The following is a 26016-nucleotide window of genomic DNA, read 5'->3' as shown; positions in this document are numbered from 1 at the left end:
GGCCTCAAGCAGTCCTCTCACCTTGGCCCCCTACAGTGCAAGGATTACAGGTATAAGCCACCATGCCTGGCCCCTACCCTGCCTATTGAGAACCAAAAGAAGGAGCCAAATTCTCCTTAGCTCAACTGGAGCCATTTTCTAATTGCTTCATCAGCAAGGTGCTGGTTATGGGTGTCCAGGCCTCCCAAGCAGCACAGAAATGAGGTGAGGGAGTTTTCCTGCTGCTTCACTCTGTGAGGAGTTGGAGGATGATGTTTACTCATTTGCAGAGAGAGATGCCTTGTAGCCACCTTAGGATGGAGGGGACCCTGATTCCAATGTCCTTTTTTTCTTTAGAAACAGGACCTTGCCCTGTCACTCAGGATGGAGTTCAGTGGTCCAATCATGGCTCATTGTAGCCTCAAACTCCCAGGCTCAAGCAATCCTACCACGTCAGCCTTCCCAGTAGCTGGTAAGCACTATGACACTCGGTGAATTTTGTTTTTATTTTTTTGTAGAGATGGGGCCGCACTATGTTGCCATGGCTGACCTTGAACTCCTGCACTCAAGGGATTTTCCTGACTCGGCCTCCCAAAGTATTGGTATTACAGGCATGAGTCATTGTGCCCACTGTCTCTGGTTCTTAACCTTCTGCCTCCCTCTTCCACTTTTAAAGAATGCTTGTAATTACATGGGCTCTCCTAGATACTCCAGGATAATCTTGTTTTAAGGTCAGCTGATGAGCAACATTAATTTTATCTGCACTCTTAATTCTCCCTTCCTATGTAATTGTGCTGTGTAACATAGGACATGAGCAATTAGTTGGCAGGGTGGGGGGTTATTACTTTGGCCACCACAGTAACTTGTGCCAGGTACTGAGCTAAGCACTGGTGAATTAAGCATGAATAACACACACTCCCTAATCTCCATCCATTCATGGGAGGAGCATCTCACCTGCCATGCTCCTGAGAATCTGGGGAGTCAAGGAAGTCTTCCATGAGGAGGTGATGCCAAAGCAGACAAGTGACAGAGGAGCTGAAGCTAGCCAGGAAGAGAGTAGAGGTTTAAGGGGAAGCGTATTATAAGCAGAGGATATCACCCACTTCAGAGACTCCCAGAGGAGAAAGAGTGTGCATTCAGGGGGCAGATGAGGCTCAGTTGGACTCCATAGCAGGTGAAATGGAGAGGGGCAAGCAGTGAGGCTGCCTTGCAAGGCAGGGCAGAGCAGGGGCTGTTAAGGAGTTTGGACTTAATCCCCGAGGCAAGGAGAAGTGATGTAAATGGGGAAGTAACATGATGAGATTCATGGATTAGAGACATGGCTCAGGCTTCTGTAGAGAAGGAACCAGGGAGAGCAGATGGCTCAATGGGTGTGCAGGAGACCTCTCACTGAGTTGAGGGAGAGGTTTTTAAAACAAGAAGTTTGAGTAATTTAAATGATGGTGGGAAGGTGCTAAAAGTGGGGGATAGGTTAAAGATACAGGAAAGTGGGAGGAAGAACTGACAAGTGAGGTTCCAGAGAGGGCAGGAGAAGAGGAGATTCCCTTAGGGGGATTAACACTTTCTTTTCTTTTTCTTTCTAAGACAGGGTCTCACTCTGTCACCCAGGCTGGAGTGCAGTGGCATGATCTTGGATCACTGTAGTGTAGACTTCCCAGCCTCAAGGGATCCTCCCACCCCAGACTCCCAAGTAGCTGGAATTACAGGTGTGCACCACCACCACACCTAGCTAATATTTTTCTCTTTTTTTGGTAGACATATAGTCTCACTGTGTTGCGCTGACAGGTCTCCAACTCCTGGCCTCAAGTGATCCTCCTGCCTAGGCTTCCCAAATTGCTGGGATTACAGGCATGAGCCATAGTGCCTGGCCTCTGCTAGTTCTGTATTCTCTAGAGTTGTCTTTACTTTGTGCTAGAGTGTCCCTCATTATGCTGATCCTCTGCTAAAATTAATACTTTTTTTTTTGAGATGGAGTTTCACTCTTGTTGCCCAGGCTGGATTGCCCAGGCTGGAGTGCAGTGGCGCTATCTTGGCTCACCGCAACCTCCGCCTGCTGGGTTCAAATGATTCTCCTGCCTCAGCCTCCCGAGTAGCTGGGATTACAGGCATGTGCCACCATGCCCAGCTAATTTTGTATTTTTAGTAGAGATGGGGTTTCTCCATGTTGGTCAGGCTGGTCTTGAACTCCTGACCTCAGGTGATCCGCCTGCCTTGGCCTCCCAAAGTGCTGGGATTACAGGCATGAGCCATGGTGCCTGGCCAAAATTAATACTTTCTATATTAAATTTACATATATATATATATTTTTCTTTTTGATACCAGGTCTCACGCTGTCACTCAGGCTGGAGTACAGTGGCACAACTTCTGCTCACTGCAGCCTCCACCTGCCAGGCTCAAGCAAGTCTCCTGACTTAGCCTCCCGAGTAGCTGGGATTACAGGTAAGTGCCGCCACACCGAGCTAATTTTTGTGTTTTTTGTAGAGATGGGGTTTCACCATGTTTCCCAGACTAGTCTCAAACTCCTGAGCTCAAAGCAATTCACCCACCTTGGCCTCCCAAAGTGCTGGGATTACAGGTGTGAGCCACCTTGCTCATTCTAGTTTAAACTTTTGAGTGGTTTGTTTCTCCTGATTGGACTCCTACAAATACAGAATTGATGGTAGGAAGCGTACCAGGAGATAGACCCACATAGATGGGATTTGGGAATAGGTTTCGTTATCCAAGGAGCAGTGCTGAGCTCCTTGCTAATGGGATATGGGATGCTGGTGATTTCCAGGAAGTGACCTCACAATGACTCAAGCTACCACTTACTGTTGATTGTGATGAAATACCAGGTGAAGGCCGGGTGCGGCGGCTCACCCCTGTAATCCCAGCACTTTGGGAGGCCAAGGCGAGTGGATCACGAGGTCAGAAGATCGAGACCATCCTGGCTAACACGGTGAAACCCCGTCTCTACTAAAAATACAAAAAATTAGCTGGGCATGGTGGCAGGCACCTATAGTCCCAGCTACTTGGGAGGCTGAGGCAGGAGAATGGCGGGAAGCTGGGAGGCAGAGCTTGCAGTGAGCCGAGATCGTGCCACTGCACTCCAGCCTGGGCGACAGAGTGAGACTCCATCTCAAAAAAAAAAAAAAAAAGAAATACCAGGTGAAGCATATGCCCTGCAAGCTTAGGGGTGCTACAGTTGACCACTGCAGCAGTAAAGATGACTGAAGAATGGCATGGGATGGATCCTTTCGAATGCACTTGAGCAGCAGTCTCCAAACACAGGGCCACAGAGCCAGAGGTGAGCAGCAGGCGAGTGAAGGGAAACTTCATCTGTATTTCTAGCCCCTCCCATCGCTTGCATGACCACCTGAGCTCCATGTCCTGTCAGATCAGCAGCAGCATTAGATTCTCATAGGAGCACGAAACCTGTTGTGAAGTGAGCATGCGAGGGATCTAGGTTGTGCGCTCCTTACGAGAATCTAATGCCTGATGTTCTGTCACTGTCTCCCATCACCCCAGATGGACAGTCTAGTTGCAGGAAAACAAGCTCAGAGATCCCACTGATTCTACATTATAGTGAGTTGTAGAATTACTTCATTATATATTACAATGTAATAGTAATGGAAATAAAGTGCACAATATTTGTAATGCACTTGAATCATCCTGAAATTATTCCCTCCACTCCCAGTCTGTGGAAAAATTGTCTTCCGCACATTCACTCTGTTTTTTAGTAGAGACAAGGTCTTAATATATTGCCCAGACTGATCTCAAACTCCTGGCCTCAAGTAATATACCTCTCTCAGCCTCCCAAAGTGCTGAGATTACAGGCATAAGCCACCACCCTCAACCAAGACCGTTTCTTAAACCAAATAAAAATTAAGTGAGATTACTTGAGCCCAGGTGGTTGAGGCTGCAGTGAGCCCTGATTGCACCACTGCACTCCAGCCTAGGTGACAGAAAATTAAAAATCAAATAAAAATAATGTCTCAAAAAATAAAGTACAGATTAACCCTTTATGACATTCCCAGTAACTTTCCTTCTAAGTGTTCCCACAAGTCTTTGAATTTTGTTTAATTTTCACATACCATTTAAGACGTTTAAGAACTTATGTCTCTTTGTGTCATCCCTTTATTTCGGAAGAATGTATTTGTCACTTCCAGCTGAATCTACCATGAAAGACTTCTGAATCCAGGAAAAGAGACTGACTGGGTAACATGTTATTCAGGTACAAAAAGACTTGGACTGTAACTCAAAAATGATCAAATAATAGTGCATGCATCAAGTGCAATGGGAAGCTCTTCCAGAGGCTGAGAGAAGTTTCCAGTTAAGGTGACACTGAAGCCAAGTCCTGAAAGATGAGGAAGAGTTGTATGAGAGTGGGGAGGGAAGGGGGAGGTGGAGGGATGGGGAATGGGCTGGAATGGGATGGAGTGAGCTGCCCAGGCAGGGAAACCAGCACTGCACAGACCTGGACAATGAAGATGGCACATTTTGTTCAGGGAATGGTGAATTAAGTGTGGCAGGAATGCTTTGTGGAGACAGTAATTTGCTTGTATGGAATTTTGCCTGAGAGATCTCACTACAGTTTCTAATTTTTTGATGTTGTCATCCATCACTGTCCTTGTCAAATAGTTTGGAATAGGTATAATTATCACAATAACACCAAGCATAATATTTCATTAATTCTCACAGAATCACAGGTAGGTGCCACAGTTATCCCCATTTTATGAATGAAGTGATGAAGACTTAGCAATAATGAGTGATTTGCCCAAGCTCACCTGGATATTAAGACTGAGTCGAATGTTGGGTCTGGTCTGACTTTAATGCTTGCTTTGTTCATGAGCACCACGTATTGCCTCTCCTATGCAGTTAAGCAGGTAGACAGGTGAAAGAAAAGCCCGTGTTTGTCTCTGCTCACACACTTCTGACTGAATGTATGTATGGAGTTTTACACCAAATTCTCCAGTGCTCTGAATATTAACTGGGTATCCCATGATTTTATTCTGACACTGCCTGGAGTTAGCACAGACCCCACAAGTTAGGGGCTCAGTCCCACGAGACCATCCTCACTTCAGATGCCAATGGCAAGTCCTAGGTTGTCACCTGTACTTTTGACCAACCTGTTACAAATCAGGGGTTCCCATAACTCTATTCTTGGGTTTAATTATTTGCTAGAACAGTTTACAGAACTCAGAAAAACAGTTTATTTTCTTTTTTTCTGAGAGAGAGGGTCTTATATTTTTGCCCAGGCTGGTGTGCAATGGTGCAGTCATAGCTCACTGCAGCCTTGACTGCCTGGGCTCCAGTGGTTCTCCCACCTCATCCTCCCTAGTAGCTGAGACTACATGCCTGCACCACCACATCTGGCTTATTTATTTTTTGTATAGATGGGGTCTTGTTGTGTTGCCCAGGCTGGCCACAAATTCCTGGTCTCAAGTGATCCTCCCACCTCTGCCTCTTAAAGTGCTAGGATTACAGATGTGAGCCACCGCGTCTGGCCAGTTCATTTCCTATTACTGGTTCATTGCAAAGGATACATTTCAGAAACAGCCAATGAAAGAGACGTACATGCTGGATGCAGTGGCTCATGCCTGTAATCTCAGAACTTTGGGAGGCCAAGTGGGAGCATCGCTTAAACTGAGGAGTTTGAGACCAGCCTCGGCAACATGGTGAAAACCTGTCTCTACAGAAAATAAAAAAAAATAATAACCGGGTGTGGTGGTGTGCACCTAGAGTTCCAACTACTAGGGATGCTGAGGTGAGAGGACACCTTGAGCTGGGGACTGGGGAGGCTTAGGTTACAGTGAGCTGAGATTGTGCCACTCCACTCTAGCTTGGACAAAAGAGCCAGACCCTATCTCAAAAAAAAAGAAAGATGCCCAAGGCAAGGTAAGTTAGGAGGAGCACAGAGCTCCCATGCCCTCTGTTGAACATGCCACCCTCCCAGCATCTCCTGTGTTCAGCAACCCCGGAAGCTCCACAAACCCTGTTCAGGGTGTTTATGGAGGCTTTATTATGCAAGCATGATTGATAAAATCTTTGGCCATTGGTGATTAAGGCAGTCTCCAGCCCCTCTTCCTCCTGGAGTTCAGTGCATGAGGCTGAAAGTTCCAAGCGTCTAATCATGTGGATGCTTCCATTGGCAATCAGCCCTCCTCCTGAAGAAATCTAGGAGCTTGCAGTCACCCAGTCATCTCAACAACATCCCCAAATGCATTCTTACCATGCTGGAGATCCCAAAGTTCTTAGAGGCTCTTGTGTTAGAAACCTGGGACCAAGACCAAATATTAAAACAAAAGATGTTCCTGTCACATCTATCACTGAGGTCTTTGTAAGAGCTTTAGAAGCTCTGTGCCAGGAACCAGGGACAGAGATTAAATATATATTTCTTTTATTTTTTTTTTTGAGACAGAATCTCCCTGTGTCATCCAGGCTGGAGTGCAGTGATGGTATCATAGCTCACTATAGCTTTGGCCTTCTGAGATCAAGTGATCCTCCCATCTCAACCTCCCAAGTAGCTAGGACTACACATGCATGTCACCTGTGCCGGCTCATTTTTGTAGAGTCGGAGTTTCACCATGTTGGCCAGATGGGGTCTTCTTTTGTTGCCCAGGCTGGCCACAAATTCCTGGGCTCAAGTGATCCTCCCACCTCGTCCTTGTAGAGATGAGATTTAGTTATGTGGTCCAGGCTGATCTCAAACTCCTGGGCTAAATCGATTGTCTCACCTCATCCTCTCAAGTAGCTGGGACTACAGGCACATACCCCCATGTCGGGCTAATATTTATTTTTATTTTTTTCTAGAGGTGGGGGTCTCACTGTGTTGTTCATTCTAGTTTCAAACTTCGGGCCTCAAGTGTTCCTCCTGCCTTGACCTCCCAAAGTGTTGGGATTCTGGGTGGGAGCCCCCATGCCCAGCAGTCACAAGGGTCTTTATAAAAGAAAGAGAGTAGGAGATTCAGAATTGGAGCAGGAGATGTGGTGATGAAAGCAGAGGTAAGAGAGGGAGATTTGAAGATGCTTCACTTCTGGCTTTGAAGATGGAGTCAGGGGCCATGATCCAAGGAATGGGGGTGGCTTCTAGAAGCTGGAAAAGCCAAGGGAACACTTTAGAGTCTCTAGAAGGAATGCAGCCCTGCTGACACCTTGACTTTAGCCTTACTAGACCTAGTTTGGGTTTCTGGCCCCTAGAACTGTAAGATGGTAGATTTGTGGTGTTTTAAGCCACTAAATGTAGGAAACTGCAAACTATGTTGCAGCAGCAAGAAGAAATGAACATAAAGCCAGTCATGATGGCTCATGCCGGTAGTCCCAGCACTTTAGGAATTTAGACAGGAGGATCACTTGAGGCCAGGAGTTCAAGACCAGTCTGGGCAACATAGTAAGACCTTGTCTCTACAAAAAATGAAAAAATTGGCCAGGCGTGGTGGCTCACACCTGTAATTCCAGCACTCTGGGGGGCCGAAGTGGGCAGATTACCTGAGGTCAGGAGTTCGAGACCAGCATGGCCAACATTGCGAAACCCCGGCTCTACTAAAAATACAAAAATTAGCTGGGCGTGGTGGCATGCACCTGTAATCCCAGCTACTTGGAAGGCTGAGGCAGGAGAATCACTTGAATCTGGGAGGTGGAGGTTGCAGTGAGCCGGGATCGCACCATTACACTACAGCCTGGGCAAGAAGAGTGAAACTCTGTCTCAAAATAAAATAAAATACTAAAAAATTTAGCCAGGCATGATGGCATGAACCTGGAGTCCCAGCTACTTGGGAGGCTGAGGTGGGAGGATCGCTTGAGCCTGGAAATTTGAGGTTGCAGTGAGCTGTGATTGCGCCACTGCACTCCAGCCTTGGTGACAGTGAGATCTTGAAAAAAGAAAGAAGAAAGTAAAGAAAGAAGAAATGAGCATGGTGGGCATGGGGACAGATGGCAGTGTTAAATAGAATGGTCAGGGGTGGCCTCCTAAGTGAAAATTGAGTAAAGACTTGAAGGAGGGGAAGGAGCTGGCCAAGGTGCTGAGGGAAGAGGATCGCAGGCAGAAACAATAGAATAAAGTGTCTGAGGTGTGTCTGAGACTCTGGAAGGAGGCCCATGGAGCAGACGGGGAGGAGAGAATTAGGGGAGGGGGCCAGGGAGTTGCTGGGTGGGGATCAGTACAGATCACATAAGCCCTGGGAGGTTATTGCTGGGGCTTTGGCTTTTACTCTGACTCAGATGGGAACTGCGGGAAGGTTCTGAGCAGAGAAGCGACATGATCTGTCTCCCGATTTAAAAGAATTCTCTGGCTGCTGAGTTGAGAAAGACTGTGGGAAGATGTGGGTAGAAGCTTGGGGGCCAAGCTTTGGCAACATCCAGGCGGGAGATGATGGTGGTCCTGACCAGGGCCATGGTGGTGTTGAGAGATGGCCAGAGGGGAGAAGTAGGGGAGGAGGCCAGGGAGTTACTGGGTGGGGATCTTTAGTACATGTCGAAGACAGTCAACAGGATTTCCTGACAGACTGGATATGGGGTGTGAGAGAAGGCAGGGGTCAAGGTTGAATTTGACTGTTACTGAAATTATTAAGTAATTTTAAAAAACACTACTGCCTTTCCCAATCCTACCAAGTATGGGATGCTAGATTAAAGAAATCTCTTCAGGCTCATTGCAGTGGCTCATGCCTGTAGTCCCAGCTGTTTGGTAACCAGAGGTGGGAGTATCTTTTAAGGGCAGGTGTTCAAGACCAGCCTGGACAACACAGCTGGATCTGCTCTTTACAAAAATATTTTTCAAAATTAAGTAAATGTAGCTAGGCATGGTGATGTGTACTTGTAGTTTCAGCTACTCAGGAGGCTGAAGTGGGCAGATCTCTTGAGGTCAGGAGTTTGAGGCCAGCTTGAGCAACATAGCAAGACCCCTCACTCTACAAAAAAATTAAAAAAATAACCAGGCATGGTGGCACTCAACTGTACTACCAGCTGCTGGGGAGCTGAGGCAGGAAGATGGCTTGAGCCCGAGGTCGAGGCTGCAGTGAGCTGTAAGTGCACAGCTGCACTCCAGTCTGGGTGACAGAGCAGGACCTGTCTCACAATACAAATAAAAATACAAGTAAAATAATGAAATCTCAAGTCAGAGCCTTTTGGTTCTGCAGCCCTTGCAACCCCTCAGCCGTGCAGTGGGGTTTGCATCACTGGGAATGAGGAGACCCCTGCCCGGTGTTGTTGCCTGACTAATCAGTGTTTTAAAACATATATTAATCGGGGTGGGCGCGGTGGCTCACACCTGTAATCCCAGCACTTAGGGAGACCCAGGCGGGTGGATCACCTGAGGTCAAGAGTTCAAGACCAGCCTTCTCTACTAAGAAAACTCCTTCTCTACTAAGAAAATACAATAATTAGCCGGACATGGTAGTGGGTGCCTGTAATCCCAGCTACTTGGGAGGCTGAGGTAGGAGAATCACTTGAAACTCTGCAGGGCGGAGGTTGCAATGAGCTGAGATTGTGCCACTTCACTCCAGCCTGGGAGAAAGAACAAGACTTTGTATCAAAGAAAAAAAAAGTATTATATCAACATGTAATGGTTTCATTATTAATATGTAATGAATATTAAATATTTTTAAAATCTTGTATTATATTAACATGTAATGGCTTTATTAATATGTGATGAATAATATTTTTAAAATTTTGTCTTATTTTCTAGTTTTAATACAATTATTTACAGAAAGAAATAGTATTAGAGATCTTCAATAAAGTTAAAAAATGTAAAGGGATGTTAGACCCCAAAAGATTGAGAATTTCTAGTTTAGAAATATTCAGAGTAAGCCACATACAACTTGCTACTTGAACTATTTTTTTTCTTTGTTTTTTTTATTTTAGGAGATGGGGTCTCACCCTGTCACCCAGGCTTGAGTACAGTAGTGCTATCACAGCTCACTGCAGCCTTGAACTCCTGGGCTAAGGATCCTCCTACCTGAGCCTCCTGAGTAGCTGGGACTGTAGGTATACATGACGATACTTGGCTAATTTTTAAATTGTTTTGTAGACATGGGGTCTCACTTTGTTAGCCAGGCTGGTGTCAAACTCATGGCCTCAAGTGACCCTTCCACCCCTGCCTCCCATCCTAGAGGTATGTGCCACCACAAGGAACACTTGTTCAATTTTCTAAAAAAAAAATTTCTAAAGTAAGGCTGTGGGATGATGGCAGGAAGATAAAAGAAAAACAGAAGAATAAGTTAAAATGACTTATTCACACATATTCTTTTGACAGTAAGAACTTTTAGTATATACTTTCCTTACAAACAAACAAAAGGCAGATAAACAATGTTGTATAGGAACTTCAACACACACTGTACAATATTCCCACTTTGCTGACATAAGTTATGGAAATTTCATGGTTTACTTGAGTGTCGCTACCAGTATTTTGCTTCTCTGATCATTTTTATCAACTTCCTCATCTGTTAACTTCTCTCCAAGGTATGTCATATCATGACATACTGCTACTGCACGAACATGGCCAGTGTCTTCCTATTAAACATGTAGAATGCTTTCCTAATTTCTCTTTTTACTCTCTGTCTTTGTGTTTTGCATTTTCCTTACTTTTATTGTCAGAAACTCCAAAAAGTCAATCGTACTAATTTATCACCATTTGCTTTATTAATTTATACTTTGCTTATATGGAATTTTGCCCAACAGACCTCATTACAATTTCTAACTTGTTTTGTTTTTTTTCTGAGACAGGGTCTCCCTCTGTTGTCCAAGGCTGGAGTGTAGTAGTGCTATCACAGCTGACTGCAGCCTCAACCTTCCAGGCTGAAGCGATCCTCCCATCTCAACCTCCCACGTGGCTGAGACTACAGGTGCTTGCCACTATGCCCAACTAATATTTGGAATTTTCCTATACGTGGATTCCAGAGGGGTGACAGCAAAACGTGAGTAAGCATGGATTTGGGTATATGCAGCAATGGGGGGCTGGAACTAATTCTGTATACTGAGGGACGACTGTATAAGTTTTTACACTGTAGGATACATACTGTTGCATAGCCTTGAAAATAATAAATTTTAATTGACTGGAAATAATATTGATAAAAGTAGCAGCTGGCCAGGTGTGGTGGCTCACACTGGTAATCACAACACTTTGGGAGGCTGAGGCAGGAGGATGGCTTGAGGCCAAGAGTTTGCGATAGGCCTTGGAAACAAAGGGAGTCACCATCCCTACAGAAAAATACATGAATTAGCCTAGTGTGGTGGCATGTTCCTGTAGTCCCAGCTACTTGGGAGGCTAAGCTGGGAGGATCACTTGAGCCCAGGGAGGCTGAGACTGCAGTGAGTCATGATCAGACCTCTGCACTCCAGCCTGGGTGACACAGTGAGACCTTGTCTCAGAACAACAAAAAAGTAGCAGCTAACATCAACTGACCTTTTACCAGGTGCCTATTGATACCATAGTTTAATTTCTTATAACTGTTTCTTATTTCACTTACCAACTCTGTCTTCAGTTACTCCCAGATTTTTACTGTTTGTACAGATGACCTTTTGTTTAGATTGAATTGTCTCCCCAGAAGTAAGATTACTGTGAGTCATGGTGAATGGACATTCTCATTACCCTTGATGTAAATTGACAAGGTTTTGGATGCCTCCCAGCTATAATCTTAGCACTTTGGGAGGCTAAGACAGGAGGATTGCTTGAGGCCAAGAGTTGGAGGAGGCAGTATGGCAGTATGGTGAGACCCTGTCTCTATTATTTTAAGAAATTGACAAGCTTTACCCTGGAAGGCTTATACACAACTTAAACACCCCTCATAGTATAACAAAGTGCCCATTTCACTGCACCTTTGCCAGCACAGGGTATTATAATTTAGTAAGTCATTTTTTTGTGTGATTATTTTAAATAGATAAAAGACCTCATATTACCTTACTTGTCACATTTCAACATCTTCCCTTAGCTTATTAGCTCTATTTCTTTTCTGTCTGTAAATGGTTGTTGTTGTTTTGTTCTTTGAGACAGGTTCTTGCTCTGTCACCAGGCTGGACTGTAGTGGCATAATCATGCCTCACTGCAGCCTTGACCTCCCAGGCTCAAACTTCAGCATTCCGAGTAGCTGGGACTACAAGTGTGCACCACTACTCCCAGCTAATTTTTTTCTTTTTTTGGATAGAGACAGGGTCTCACTGTGTTGTCCAGACCGGTCTCTAGCTCCTGACCTTAAGCAATCCTCCTGCATTAGCTTCTCAAATTGCTGGAATTTCAGGCATGAGCCACCATGCCTGGCCTGGGCTAGTCCTATATTCTCTAGAGTTCTCTTTACTTTGTGCTAGCCAATCTCTCATTATGCTGTTCACCTGTTATAGTGAATAATTCTCTGTATTAAATTTTACCACTTTAAACTTTTGAGTGGTTTATGCTTCCTGATTGGACTCTGACTAATATGTTAGGAAGGGTCCCAGGAGATAAACCCACACAGATGGGATTTGGGCATAGGTTTGGTTTCCCAGGGGGCAGTGCTGAGCTCTTTGCCAGTGGGAAATGGGATGCTGGTGATTTCCAGGAAGTGACCTCACAATGACTCAAGCTACCACTTACTGTTGATTGTGACGAAATGCCAGCTGAGGCACATACCTTCGGAGCTAAGTGGTTGCTGCACTTGACCACTATGAAGACTGGTGTAGGAAGGGTCATTTTGGATGCACTTCAGCAGGGGTCCCCAACCCTGAGCCATGGAGCCGTAAGGAGCCACACAGCAGGAGGTGAGTGGTGTCGAGTGAGGGAGAGAGGGAAGCTTCGTCTGTATTTACAGCCACTCCCCTTTGCTCACATTCCCGCCTGAGCTCCACCTTCTCAGATCAGCAGCAGCATTAGATTCTCATAGGAGAACACACCCTGTTGTGAACCGTGCATGTGAGGGATCTAGGTTGCACTGTCCTTATGAGAATCTAATACTTATTGATCTGTCACTTTCTCCCATCACGCTCAGGTGGGACCATCCAGTTGCAGGAAAACAAGCTTAACACGCCCACTGATTCTACATTATGGTGAGTTCTATAATTATTTTATTACATATTACAGTGTACTAATGGAAATAAAGTGCCAATAAATGTAATGTGCTTAAATCTTTTGGCCCAGCTCCTACCTCCCAGCAGCCTCGCCAGGCCCAGAACTTTCTCCAGTCAGCCTCCACAGACCAAGCTCATGACTCACAATGGCCTATTTAGGCCCATACCCTACCTCACAGCAGTCTCCGCAGATGAGGCTACTGCCTCACAACAGCCTCCACAGGCACAGCTCCACCGTTACAATGGCCTCTTTAGACCCAGCTCCTGCCTCCCAGCCTTCTCTCCAGGCCCTGAACTTTCTCAAGTCGACCTCACCAGGCCCAGCTCATGCTTCTTGGCAGCCTCTCCAGGCCCAGCTCCTGCATCTTGGCGGCCTCTCCAGGCCCAGCCTCTGCCTCCCGTCGGCCTCTACAGTCCCAACATCTGCCTCACAGCAGATTCTTCAGGCCCAGCATCTGCCTCACTGTGGACCCCCCAAGCCAAGCTCCCAACCTTTCAGCAGCTTCTACACACCCAGCTCCTGCCACCCAGTGGCCTCTTTAGGCCAAGCTCATGCCTCACAAGGGCCTTTCCAGGCCCAACTTTTGTCTCATGGCAACCTTGCCTGGCCAGATTCCTGCCTGTCTCCCAGCAGCCTAGATAGGCCCAGGTCTTGCCTCACACTGGCCTCTCTACATCCAGCTCATGCCTCACGGTGGCCTCTCCAGGCCCAGTTCCTGTCCCAGGACGTCATCTCCAGGCCCAAAACTTCCTCAAATCAGCCTCTCTAGTCCCAACTGCTGCCTTCTGGTGGCCTATGAAGGCCCAAAATCTCCTCAAGTTGACCTCTCCAGGCCCAGTTCCTGCCTCCTGTCAGCATCTACAGGCCCAACCTCTGCCTCATGGGGGCTTCTCCAGGCCCAGCTCTTCCTCTTAGCTGAGTCTACAGGCACAACTGCTGCCTCACAACAGCCTTTTTTGGCCCAGTTCCTGTCCAGCTCACGGCGGCCAATGTAGGCCCAAAACTTCCTCAAGTCAAACTCTCCAGGCCCACCTTCTGCTTCCCGGTGGCATGAACAGGCCCAGCTTTGACTTGAGAATAGCCTCTGCAGGCCCTGCTCTTGCCTCCCAGGGGCTTCTCCAGGCCCAGCTCTTGCCTCATGGCAGCTGCCCCAGGCCAAGTTTCTGCCTGCCTGCCAGCAGCCTCAACAGGCACAGCTCCTCCCTCACAGTGGCCCATTTAGGCCCAACTCATGACTGTCGGGCCATTTCCAGGCCTAGCGCCTGCCTCCTGGCTGACTCTTGAAGCCCAAAACTTCCTCGAATCAGCCTTTTGCCCAACCTCTGCCTACTGTTGGACTCTACAGGCCAGCCTCTGCCTCACAGTGGACCCTCCAGACCCAGATGGTGTCTCACTGTGGCATCCTCAGGTGAAGCTCCTGCCTTTTGGCAGCCTCTACAGGCCCAGCTCCTGCCTTGCAATGGCCTCTTTAGGCCAAGCTCATGCCCCATGGTGACTTTTCCAGGCACAGCTTTTGCCTTTTGCAGCCTGTCCAGGCCCAGAATGTCCTTAACTCGGCATCTCCAGGACGAGCTCATCCTCCCAGTGCGTCTACAGGCCCGTCTCCTGCCTCACAACAACCTTCTTTGGCCCAACTCCTGCTGAGCTGCTGGCAGCCTCTGTAGGCCACAGACTTCTTAAAGTAAAGCTTTCCAGGCCCACCTTCGGCCTCCCGGCAGCCTCAGCAATCAAACTATTCCCTCACTGCGGCCACTGAAAGCCAAGTTTCTCCCTGCCTCACGGCATCCTCCGAAAACTGAGCATTTGCCTCACAGTGGCCTCCCCAGGCCACGAATCTGCCTGCCTCCCAGGCAGCTGCTGCCTCACAATGGTCTCTTTAGGCCCAGCTCATGCTAAAAGATGGACTCTCCAGGCACAGCTCTTGCCTCCTGTCAGCCTCTGCAGGCCCAAATTCTCCAAAAGTTGGCCTCTCCTAACTCAGCTCCTGCCTCATGTTGGCCTACACAGGCCCAGACTCTTACCACACAGTAGACCCTCCAGGCCCACCACTTGCCTGAGCATAGCCTCCTAAGGCCAAGCTCCTGCCTTTCAGCAGCCTCTACAGGCCCAGCTCCTGCCTCGCAATTGCCTTTGTAGGCCAAGATCATGCCGCGAAGTGGCCTTTCCTAGCCTAACTTTTGCTTTTTGACGCATACTCCAGTCCCAAAACTTCCTCCAGTCAGCCGGTCCAGGCCAAGCTCTTCCTCCCAAAGGCTTCTGCAGGCCAAAATTGTCCTGAAGTCACCCTCTTCAGGCCCAGCTCCTACCTACAAGTGCTGTGTAGGCCAAGCTAATGCCTCACAGCAGACTTTCCAGGCTGAGCGTTTCCTTTTATGCATCCTCTCCAAGCCCTGAACTTACTCCAGTTGGCCTCTCCAGACCAAGCTCTCCCTCCCAGTGGCCTCTACAGGCCAAAATTGTCCTCAAGTCAGCCTCTCCAGGGCCAACTCCTAGCTACCGGTGGCTTCTGCAGGCCAAAATCGACCTCAAGTCAGCCTCTTCACACCCAGCTCTTGCCTCTAAGTGGCCTCTCCAGGAGCAAAACTTCCTCAAGTCGGCCTCTCCAGGCCCAGCCTCCTGCTTCCCGAGGGCGTGTACAGGCCCAGCCTCTGCCTCACAGCAGACTCTCCACACCCAGCTCTTCCCTGTCTGTGGCCTCTCCAGTCCAAAGCTGCTCCTGCCTTTCGGCAGCTTGTACAGGCCCAGCTCCTCCCTCACGGTGGCCTCTTTCGGCCCAACTCATGCCTCTTGCAACCTGCCCAAGTGTCAGTTCCTGCCTCACACTGGCCTGTTGAGGCCCAGCTCATGCCTCTCGTGGCCTCAACGGGCCCAGGCCCTGCCTGTCGGCGGCCTCTACAGGCCCGGCCTCTACCTCACAGTGGGCTCTCCAGGCCCACCTCTTCCTCACCGTGGCATCCTGGGGCAATGCTCCTCCTTCTCAGGAGCCTCTGCGGGCCCAGCTCCTGCCTCCCAGTGGCCTCTATAGGCCAAGCACGTGCCTCAGGGCAGCCTTTCCAGGCCTAGCATTTGCTGCTTTGCATCCTCTCCAGGCCCTGGACTTCTTCCAGTCGGCCTCTCCAGGCCCAGCTCTTCCTCCCAGCGGCCTCTGCAGGCCCAGACTCTCATCAAGTTGGGCTGTCCAGGGCCAGCTCTTGCCTCCCGGCGGCCTCTGCAGGCCCAAGTCGTCCTCAAGTCGGCCTCCCCAGGCCCAGCTCCGGCCTCTCGGCAGCCTCTCTGGGTGCAAATGTTCCTCGAGTCAGCCTCTCCAGGCCCACCTCCTCCTGCCTCCCAGTGGCCTCTTTCAGCCCAGCCCAGCTCATGCCTCCCGGCGGCCTTCCCAGGCCCCACTTTTGACTTTCGGCGGCCTCTGCAGGCCCAGAACTTGACCTCCAGTCAGCCTCTCCAGGCCCGGCCTCCTGCCTCCTGAAGGCCTGCACAGGCCCAGCCTCTGCCTCACAGCGGACTCTCCACGCCCAGCTAGCTCTCGCCTCACTGCAGCCTCCCGAGTCCAAAGCTCCTGCCTCTCGGCCGCTTTGGCAGGCCCAGCTCCTGCCTGCCAGTGGCCTCTTCAGGCCCATGGGGCTCATTCCTCACAATGGCCTTTCCAGGCCCAGTTTTTCCCTTCCGGCGGCCTCGCCAGGCCCAGAACCTCCTCAAGTCGGCCTCTCCGGACCCACCTGCAGCGTCCCGGCGTCCTCTCCGGGCCCAGCTCTTCCTCCCGGCTGCGTCTCCAGGCCCGACTCCGGCCTCCCAACAAGGTCTTTGGACTCAGCTCCCGCCCAGCTTCCAGCGGCCCTGGTAGGCCCACAACTTCCTGAAGCCAAGCTCCCCAGGCCCAGCTCCGGCCTCACGGTGGCCTCTCCAGGCTCAGCTCCTGCCCTCCGACGGCGTCTCCAGGCCCCAAACGGCCTCCGGTCGGTGGGCTCCTCTAGGCCCAGCTTGGGCCTCCCGGCAGCCTCTGCAGGCCCAAATCGTCCTGAAGTCGGCCTCTCCAGGCCCAGCTCCAGCCTCCCGGTGGCCTCTGCAGGCCCAAGTCATCCTCAGGTCAGCCTGGAAGTGGGCCTGGAAGAGCTGCAAGTCGGCCTCCCCGGGCCCAGCTCCGTCCTCTCGGCGGCCTCTCCAGGTGCAAAACTTCCTCGAGTCAGCCTCTCCAGGCCCAGCTCCTCCTGCCTCCCAGTGGCCTCTTTCGGCCCAGCCCAGCTCATGGCTCTCGGCGGTCTTCCCAGGCCCCGCTTTTGACTTTTGGTGGCCTCTTCAGGCCCAGAACTTGACCTCCAGTCGGCCTTGGCAGGCCCGGCCTCCTGCCTCTCGAAGGTCTGCATGGGCCCGGCCTCGGCCTCACAGAGGACTCTCCATGCCCAGCTAGCTCTTGCCTCACTGCGGCCTCCCCAGTCCAAAGCTCCTGCCTTTCGGCCACTTCGGCAGGCCCAGCTCCTGCCGGCCAGTGGCCTCTTTAGGCCCAGCTCATTCCTCACAACGGCCTTTCCAGGCCCCATTTTTCCCTTCCAGCGGCCTCTCCAGGCCCAGAACCTCCTCAAGTTGGCCTCTCCAGGCCCACTTGCACCCTCCGGGCGTCCTCTCCAGGCCCAGCTCTTCCTCCCGGCTGCGTCTCCAGGCCCGACTCCTGCCTCCCAACAACCTCTTTGGACTCAGTGCCTGCCCATCTCCTGGCGGCCTTGGTCGGCCCACAGCTTCCTCAAGCCAAGCTCCCCAGGCCCAGGTCAGGCCTCACGGTGGCCTCTCCAGGATCAGCTCCTGCCCTCCGATGGCGTCTCCAGGCCCCAAATGGTCTCCGGTCGGTGGGCTCCTCCACGCCCAGCTTGGGCCTCCCGGCGACCTCTGCAGGCCCAAGTCGTCCTGAAGTCGGCCTCTCCCGGCCCTGCCTCCCAGCAAGTAAGCAAGCTTTTTTGGCTCAGCTCCTGCCCAGCTCCCAACCGCCTTTGTAGGCCCCGAACTTTCTCCAGCCAAGCTCTTCGGGCCCACCTCCTGCCTCCCGGTGGCCTGTACAGGCCCAGCTCTGGCTGGAGAACAGCCTCTGCAGGCCACGCTCTTGCCTCCCAGGGCCTCTCCAGGCCCAGCTCTCGCCCCCACAGCGGCCTCCCGGGGCCAAGTCCCTGCCTGCCTCCCGGCAGCCCGCGTGCGCCCAGCTCCTCCCTCACGGTGGCCTGTTGATGCCCAACTCATGCCTCTGGCACCCTGCCCAGAGGCGTGAGCCCCTGCCTCATACCGGCTCCTCCCACACTGAGAGAGGTCAGCATGAGCCCCTTGCCTCACACCGGCCCCTCCCAAGCTGACAGAGGTCAGCGTGAGCCCCTTGCCTCACACCGGCCCCTCCCACGCTGACAGAGGTCAGCGTGAGCCCCTGCCTCAACAGGCCACCGTGAGGGAGGAGCAGGGCCGCACGCAGGCTGCCGGAAGGCAGGCAGGGACTTGGCCCCGGGAGGCCGCAGTGGGGCGAGAGCTTGGCCTGGAGACGCCCCTGGGAGGCAACAGCAGGGCCTGCAGACGCTCTTCTCCAGCCAGAGCTGGGACTGTACAGGCCACTGGGAGGCAGGATGTGGGCCTGAAGAGCTTGGCTGCAGAAACTTCGGGGTCTACAAACGCCGGCGAGAGCTGAGCCAAAAGAGCTTGCTTGCTGGGAGGCAGGAGCTGGGCCGGGAGATGCAGCCAGGAGGAACAGCTGGGCCTGCAGAGGCCGCCATGCGGGAGGCAGAGGCTGGGCCTCCTCAAGTCGGCCTCTCCAGACCCACCTGCAGCCTCCCGGCGTCCTCTCCGGGCCCAGCTCTTCCTCCCGGCTGCGTCTCCAGGCCAGACTCTGGCCTTCCAATAAGGTCTTTGGACTCAGCTCCCGCCCAGCTTCCAGCGGCCCTGGTAGGCCCACAACTTCCTGAAGCCAAGCTCCCCAGGCCCAGCTCCGGCCTCACGGTGGCCTCTCCAGGCTCAGCTCCTGCCCTCCGACGGCATCTCCAGGCCCCAAACGGCCTCCGGTCGGTGGGCTCCTCTAGGCCCAGCTTGGGCCTCCCGGCAGCCTCTGCAGGCCCAAATCGTCCTGAAGTCGGCCTCTCCAGGCCCAGCTCTGGCCTCCCGGCGGCCTCTGCAGGCCTAAGTCGTCCTCAAGTCGGCCTGGAAGTGGGCCTGGAAGAGCTGCAAGTCGGCCTCCCCGGGCCCAGCTCCGTCCTCTCGGCGGCCTCTCCAGGTGCAAAACTTCCTCGAGTCAGCCTCTCCAGGCCCAGCTCCTCCTGCCTCCCAGTGGCCTCTTTCGGCCCAGCCCAGCTCATGGCTCTCGGCAGTCTTCCCAGGCCCCGCTTTTGACTTTTGGTGGCCTCTTCAGGCCCAGAACTTGACCTCCAGTCGGCCTTGGCAGGCCCGGCCTCCTGCCTCTCGAAGGCCTACACGGGCCCAGCCTCGGCTTCACAGTGGACTCTCCACGCCCAGCTAGCTCTCGCCTCACTGCAGCCTCCCCAGTCCAAAGCTCCTGCCTTTCGGCCACTTCGGCAGGCCCAGCTCCTGCTGGCCAGTGGCCTCTTTAGGCCCAGCTCATTCCTCACAACGGCCTTTCCAGGCCCCGTTTTTCCCTTCTGGCAGCCTCTTGGCCTCTAATTTTTTTATCTTTCGTGTATAAATCCCAAAATATGGAATTTTGGAATATTTCCACCATTATATAAATATTTTGGTAGGTAATTTATTTGGAGTGAGTTTCTGCACCAAGCCCGAATTTTTTATTTTATTTTCCTTATTATTTGGTGTTAAAACAGGTTTAATGACGGTCATGGCAACTTTTTGGCACAATGAAAAATATCGCCCATGATCAACGTGTTCTGTTCTGGGGAAGGTGGCAAGGGCAGGGTGAATCACTTTCTTAAAAAGTACAACTCAAGTTGGGAGTGCAGAGGGAATGGGGAGAAAACCCTCCCACTGCCTGTGTCGAAGTACAGGAGCCCCCACACCCATACTCACCTGAGTCCAGCCCCTCTGGGGAAAGAAGGGGTGCATGAACTCCCCCTATTCCACAGGCGCCTCCCTGTGGCCCAAGGCCCTCTTCACACTCCATCTTGTAGCCCCAGCAGGAGCTATTTTCCGAAAAGTGAAAAGCTCTGAAGGTCCCACACTTCATGGTATGTACAGGGGCTCGGAGGAGGGAAACTGCCCAGCTTTCCCCCAGCACAGCAGCAGGGGTAGGGGGTATATATAAGAGGAGCAGGCCTTGGCCAGGCGTGGTGGCTCATGCCTGTAATCCCAGCACTTTGGGAGGTGGAAGCAGGCGGATCACGATGTCAGGAGATCGAAATCAGCCTGGCCAAGATGATGAAGCCCCGTCTGTACTAAAAATACAAAAATTAGCTGGACGTGTTAGCGTGCACCTGTAATCCCAGCTACCCAGAAGGCTGAGGCAGGAGAATGGCGTGAACACGGCAGGAAGAGGTTGCAGTGAGTCAAGATCGCACCACTGCACTCCAGCCTGGGCGACAGAGCAAGACTCCGTCTCAAAAAAAAAAAAAAAAAAAAAGAGAGAAGCAGGCCTTATTCTGTCCCAAACTGAAAGGATTAAATGGCTTTACCCGGGAGAAGATAACCGTCCTGCCCTCCATTGCTACCCCCACATAATGTCCATGTTCTCACGGGGTACTGTGAGTCCTGGGATCTTCTTTGGGGTCGCCCACCTGCCTGTGGTAGTTATGGAGGGACCCAGGTGTTGAGGCAGGGCTGGGGTGCCCCTTCCAGCCAGGCTGTCGAGGCCCCAACTCTGGGGCAGAGGCAGTGGCAGGGCAGCCAGGGTTGCGCCAGAGCCTGAGCAGGGTGAGGTGGGGTCAGGCAGGGCTGGGAGTCAGGGCAGGGGCAGCAGCAGTGGACCCGCTATGCACACATCTTCTTCTTCAAGGTTTGTGTGCAGAACATCCTGCCCATGCTGCCCCAGCAGCTTCAGTTGGCACCTGCCCCAGTCCAGCCTCTGGGACCCATGCAGCGGCTCCCAGCAGCCCTGCACCCACCACCAGCATCCGTTTCACCTGCAGTGGAAGATCCGTGAGGTGCCCAGAAGATCATGCAGTCATCAGTCCCACAGAGCAGCCCGCGAGGCTGAGGCTCCTCCCACTGGACTGCCCCCCAACTGGCACCACTGCTGCCCCTGCCCCTACTCTCAGCCTCATGTGACTCTCGGGCAGAGGCAGTGGTAGGGCAGCTTCAGAGTCTGAGCCAGGTGAGGTGGGGTCAGGACCCCTGCAGGGCTGGGAATCAGGGCAGGGGCAGAACAAACCTTGGAGGGGAAGATGTGTGTATAGTGGGCCTGGAGGGCGGCTGTGGCCTAGTGGACAGGAAGAAGCAGTGGGCCTGGAAGAGCTGCATGATCAGGGCCGGCACTAGTCCAGGGCGCATGCAGTGAAGAGGACAGCGCCTTCTCGGTCTCCAGTTCCCTGAGACCGTCCTCGGCTTCACCTGTACAGGCAAAGGGGAAGCTGTTCCCATCACACATGGCACACTTGGGGGTGTTGGGCTTTGGGCTGCAGCTGGAGCATCTTCTCATCTTGCATTTGAGCGTGGTGGGGTCCTCCAGTGCGGGATCCATGTCCGTGGGGTTCCCTCTGCCCCGACCCCCAAAGCCCAGTCAGTTTCTCCTCTTCAGGCTCTGCCCCCCGGGTGGCTCAGCCCAGCTCCTGCCTAGGAAAGCCTTAGTGTTGGGAGGGACCACGATGACTGAGGGGCCTGGTAGCTCCAGGTCGCCCACACTTTCAGATCTCTTGCACCAGAAGGTGGCAGGATCCATTGGGAGGAAACAGATCGCCTTGGAAGGCATCCCTGGGCCCCCACCCCCAGGGGTAGGGGCCGTAGGGGGCCTGCTCTGCTGCCCTGACCAGACTCCTGGGCTTTGAAGGCTCCTGGGCCCAGTAAGAAGGAGGTGGGTGCCAAGGTTGAGGAGGAAGCATCCGAGTATGTGTAGGAGGAGGACGGGGTGGGACCATAGACTTTGCCAAAAACTGCAGGTGGATCGGGGGACTCGGGGGACTCAGGATCCAGCAAGGGGCAGTAGGAGTAAAGGAGGAAGGAATGACAGGTGCAGATACCTTCCCACCAAAGCCCTTGTTGCTTTCTGGCTCCTCCCCAGAGTTGTCCCCACTCTCAGTCGGTCACCCACTCCTTGAACTTGAGATCAGTGTCAGTGGTGCTAAAGCCGTCATCAGCAATGACACCATCACCCCCTCCTCCTCATGGATGACCATGTGCTCCTCGTCACTCGCTATGTCCTCACCGGCCATGTGCTGGGAATGAGCAGCTCAGGTGGGCAGCAGCAGGGCTGCCCACTGGTCACCTCCCTCACCAGGGGCTGCAAAGTGGCCTGGAGCTCCATACTGAGTAGAAGGCTTTGGGCCAGAGTATGATGCAGTGCCAGACACCACCTGTGTCAGTTCCTGTAGTGCCTGACGGTCTATTTCCCTGCCATCCAGGCTGTGTGTACCCCCTTGTGGGAGAAGGCTTGGGCCAGGCTGAGCCAGGTTCCCTGACTGTGTGCAGCTGTTCTGCCCCCACAGAAGCTGCTCCTTGGTATCCGAGCTCAGGAGTGTCTGGGCTGCAACTGACAGGAGTTCAGAGGACACCCCAGGGGTAGTGGCAGTGCCCGTCTCTGATATGCTCCACTCCCACGATCCGTTGTACACTCCTGCTAGCCCCTGGCTTGTGGGCTTGGCCTCTGAGCTGGACTTCTTTCGGTCCTTGTTGCAAGTGGGCCACCTTCACCTGGAAGGCCAGGTCGTGGTACTTCTGCATCTCATTGGGCCCCAGGGTGTACCACCGCTCGCTCAGGATCTGGCTGATGGTCCAGTTATCCTGGTAGGGGTGACCCTGGTGCGCCCTGCCAGGGCCTGGTGCCGCTTGCTGAAGATCGTGACCGCCACTCATGGGCCACCAGATGTGGTCCTTGTCCCATTTGTTGGGGCTGCGTCCATCCTTCTCAGAAGATGAGTCCTGTTCCTTGCACAGGGCACTGAGGGACTGGGCCTGACATCATCTGAATCGTAGAGGCAACTGGGTGTCAGGAGACATGACGGAGAGGAAAGCATCATCGTGGTCATTCTCTGTCTCACTGTCCAGCAGGGACTCCCCTGAGGGCCCAGGGCTCCTCCTCCATGGTGAGAGGTGGGCTTTTACCAGGTTCCACCACCCCCAAAGTGTGTGGGGTTCCGGGCCCTGGGCTTTCAGGGCAGGTGGCTGCAGGGGGCCGCCCAGGGTCAGCACTCCCTGTCCCACCTGGTGGACACTCGTGAGCAACAGCTGCCGACTTGGCAGGTTCTTTGCTCTGGTTGGAGGCCACTGAGTGACTGGCAGGTTGCTGGGCCTCACGCGGCTGCAGGGAGGGGTCAGGAAGGGGACAGAGTACCAGGAGAACACAGCCACAGAGCAAGGTTCCACATTCCTCCACACAAACATGCTGACACCACCAGAGGCCTTGCTGGACGCAGACATCAGGGGCCTGTGGGCCAAGTACATGGTCTGGGCAGGGGGTTCCTGGCAGGGGCTCACACCTCCTCAGCCCCCTCCTCAGCCAAGGCAGCTTGGACCCACGGAAGGGGGGATGGGAGGGGAGCACGAGACCAGGCCTCAAGTTTTGTTTGTTTTTTGTTTTTTGTTTTTTGTTTTGAGATGCAGTTTGGCAGGCTGGAGTGCAGTGGTGCGATCTCAGCTCACTGAAACCTCCACTTCCTGGGTTCAAGCAATTCTCCGGCCTCAGCCTCCCAAGTATATGCAACTTTACTGCTGAATATTATATATTTTCTTATGCTTTCATGTGATTAATTAGCATTCTTTTTTTTTTCTTTTTGAGACAGTGTTGCTCTGTCGCCCAGGCTGGAGGGCAGTGGTGTGATCTTGGCTCACTGCAACCTCCGCCTCATGGTTTAATTGATTCTCCTGCCTCAGCCCCCTGAGTAGTTGGGATTACAGGCACCCGCCACCACTCCTGGCTAATTTTTTGTATTTTTAGAAGGCGTGGGTTTTTGCCATGTTGGCCTGGCTGGTCTTGACCTCCTGACCTCAAGTTATCCACCCTCCTCGGCCTCCCAAAATGCTGGGATTACAGGCATGAGCCACCACACCCAGCTGCTTTCTTTCATTTTTACTTGAAAAACTCCGTTAAGCATTTCTTTTAAAGTAGACCTAGTGCTCCTGAATTCCCTCAGCTTTTTTTGTCTAGGGAACATGTTATTTATTCATTCTTTCTGAAGGATAGCTTTGTCAAATATAGTATTAGTTGCTGGCAGTTTTTTTCTTTCAGCACTTTGAATATATTCTTCAATTCTCTCCTGACCTGCAAAGTTTCTTCTGAGAAATCTGCTGATAGTTTAATGAAGATTCTCTTGTTGGTGTCATGCCACTTTTCTCTTGCCTCTTCAACATTTTAAAAAATCTTTGGCTTTTGACTATTTGATTATATTGTGATTATATATATTTGGTTTTAACCTCCTTAGGAATCTTTAAGCTTCATGCACTTGGATGTCTAAATCTTTCCCATGATTTAGGCAGTTTCAACCATTCTTTCTTTAAATAAACTTCCTTCTCCTTTGTCTACTTTCCTTCCCAAACTCACATGACAGTGGATTGCCTAATGGTGTCTCGATGGCTTTCTTTTCTCTCTCTTTTTTTTCAAGATGGAGTCTTGCTCTGTTGCCCAGGCCAGGGTGCAATGGCATGCTCTTGGCTCACTGCAACCTCCCACTTGGGCTCTGCAGCCCAGCCTGTCTTGTAAGCACTGCCTCCTCAAAGTGACACCTGGCAGATTCTTCTTCCCTTTGAGGGAGAATCATCGTTGTTGCTTCATCGCTTCTAAGACATTTTGTAGGACATGGACAGGTTAAACAGAATGTGCTTTCCCCCCTGAGGTCTCGCTGTCACACAGGCTCCTGGGAGAATGCCACAGGGGCCATGCACTGGTCGAGCTTCTCTGTAGAACCCAGGGGCTTCAGCCCAGAACACAGCGTCTAGCCCTAAGCCTAGAGCAGGGAGGGAGTCCCGAACTTCTGCATTCACAGACCATCTCCAGAATTGTTATAACCAAAGGAATCCTGTTCTGTTATTTCACTTAAATCAACATGTTATTTTGTTTTCACTCACTCCTGGCTTTCTCCTTGTGCCGAGCCCATGTATCCATGCAGTCATGTTCACAGGCTAGTTATGTTTTCCTTCTTACACATGAAAATAAATGCATAACTGGTAGAAGCTCTTCCATGTTTCATATAAGCTCTCACACAGGTAAACTCTGGCCTTTGGTAGTAGCCCTGGAAAGATGTTTGCTGGGCATCTGCTCACTATGGCGGGGGTGTCCAAAGAGTGCTGGGGCTCAGCTCAGCAGACGGAGGGGCTCGTTTCCTGCCTCATGCCCAACACCAGAGACTGATGCTGGCCAACTCACAGGTGTGCCTCTTCTGGACAAGGGCCACCACTGACGGGGTTGGCTGCAGGGGCCTCACTAGTGCCGCCAAATGCTTCAAGAATTAACACTCAGGCTGGGCGTGGTGGCCAATGCCTGTAATTCCAGCACTTTGGGAGGCCAAGGCAGGCGGATCACCTGAGGTTGGGAGTTCAAGACCAGCCTCACCAACATGGAGAAACCCCTTCTCTACTAAAAATACAAAATTAGCTGAGCATGGTGGCACATGCCTATAATCCCAGCTACTCAGGAGGCTGGGGCAGGAGAATTACTTGAACCCAGGAGGTGGAGGTTGCAGTGAGCCTCGATCATAGCATTACACTCCAGCCTGGGCGACAGAGGGAAACTCCGTCTCGAAAAAAAAAGAATTAACACTCAGGCCAGGTGTGGTGGCCAATGCCTGTAATCCCAGCACTTTGGGAGGCTGAGGTGGGTGGATCACTTGAGGCCAGAAGTTTCAGACCATCCTGGCCAACATGGCGAAACCCCGCCTCTGCTAAAAATACAAAAATTAGCTGGGCATGGTGGCGCATGCCTCTAGTCCCAGCTACTTGGGAGGTTGAGGCAGGAG

The 26016-nt window shown here is 51.9% G+C and overlaps 2 long non-coding RNA genes and 4 pseudogenes across 3 annotated transcripts, besides 1 other annotated feature; 5 read left to right on the top strand and 1 right to left on the bottom strand.

The window, feature by feature from the left end:
* Positions 1–2807: 2807 nt before the first annotated feature.
* Positions 2808–10716, top strand: LOC102723533 (uncharacterized). 2 transcript variants are annotated; one of them, XR_428146.3, is made up of 3 exons: positions 2808–3265; positions 4108–4192; positions 9817–9860. It is a non-coding gene; the product is annotated as an uncharacterized LOC102723533 (long non-coding RNA). The 2 variants fall into 2 exon arrangements; XR_927259.2 differs by lacking the exon at positions 9817–9860 and adding an exon at positions 10678–10716 and having other exon boundaries at positions 3060–3265.
* Positions 10717–12536: 1820 nt separating this feature from the next.
* On the top strand, positions 12537–13415 carry LOC107986794 (uncharacterized). The gene is made up of 3 exons (NR_157843.1): positions 12537–12684; positions 12912–12969; positions 13061–13415. It is a non-coding gene; the product is annotated as an uncharacterized LOC107986794 (long non-coding RNA).
* Positions 13416–13755: 340 nt separating this feature from the next.
* On the top strand, positions 13756–14275 carry LOC107986795 (putative uncharacterized protein FLJ92257; annotated as a pseudogene).
* Positions 16173–18239, top strand: LOC100133177 (uncharacterized; annotated as a pseudogene).
* LOC101928675 (putative uncharacterized protein FLJ44672) lies at positions 18469–19711 on the top strand (annotated as a pseudogene).
* Positions 21419–21573: a silencer, noted in NCBI's record as "fragment chr7:51451917-51452071 (GRCh37/hg19 assembly coordinates)". NCBI's record gives its function as "represses an EF-1alpha promoter that drives an FKBP-Casp9 reporter gene in an ReSE screen in phorbol 12-myristate 13-acetate-treated (for megakaryocytic differentiation) K562 erythroleukemia cells {active_cell/tissue: K562(+PMA)}" and the evidence as "EXISTENCE:reporter gene assay evidence [ECO:0000049][PMID:32094911]".
* Positions 21704–23548, bottom strand: CICP17 (capicua transcriptional repressor pseudogene 17; annotated as a pseudogene).

The sequence above is a fragment of the Homo sapiens genome, chromosome 7 (genome assembly GCF_000001405.40).
Source record: "Homo sapiens chromosome 7, GRCh38.p14 Primary Assembly".
NCBI classification, from domain to species: domain Eukaryota; kingdom Metazoa; phylum Chordata; class Mammalia; order Primates; family Hominidae; genus Homo; species Homo sapiens.
Note: the sequence above shows the minus strand (reverse complement) of the source record. Positions and strands in the feature narration are given on the sequence as shown.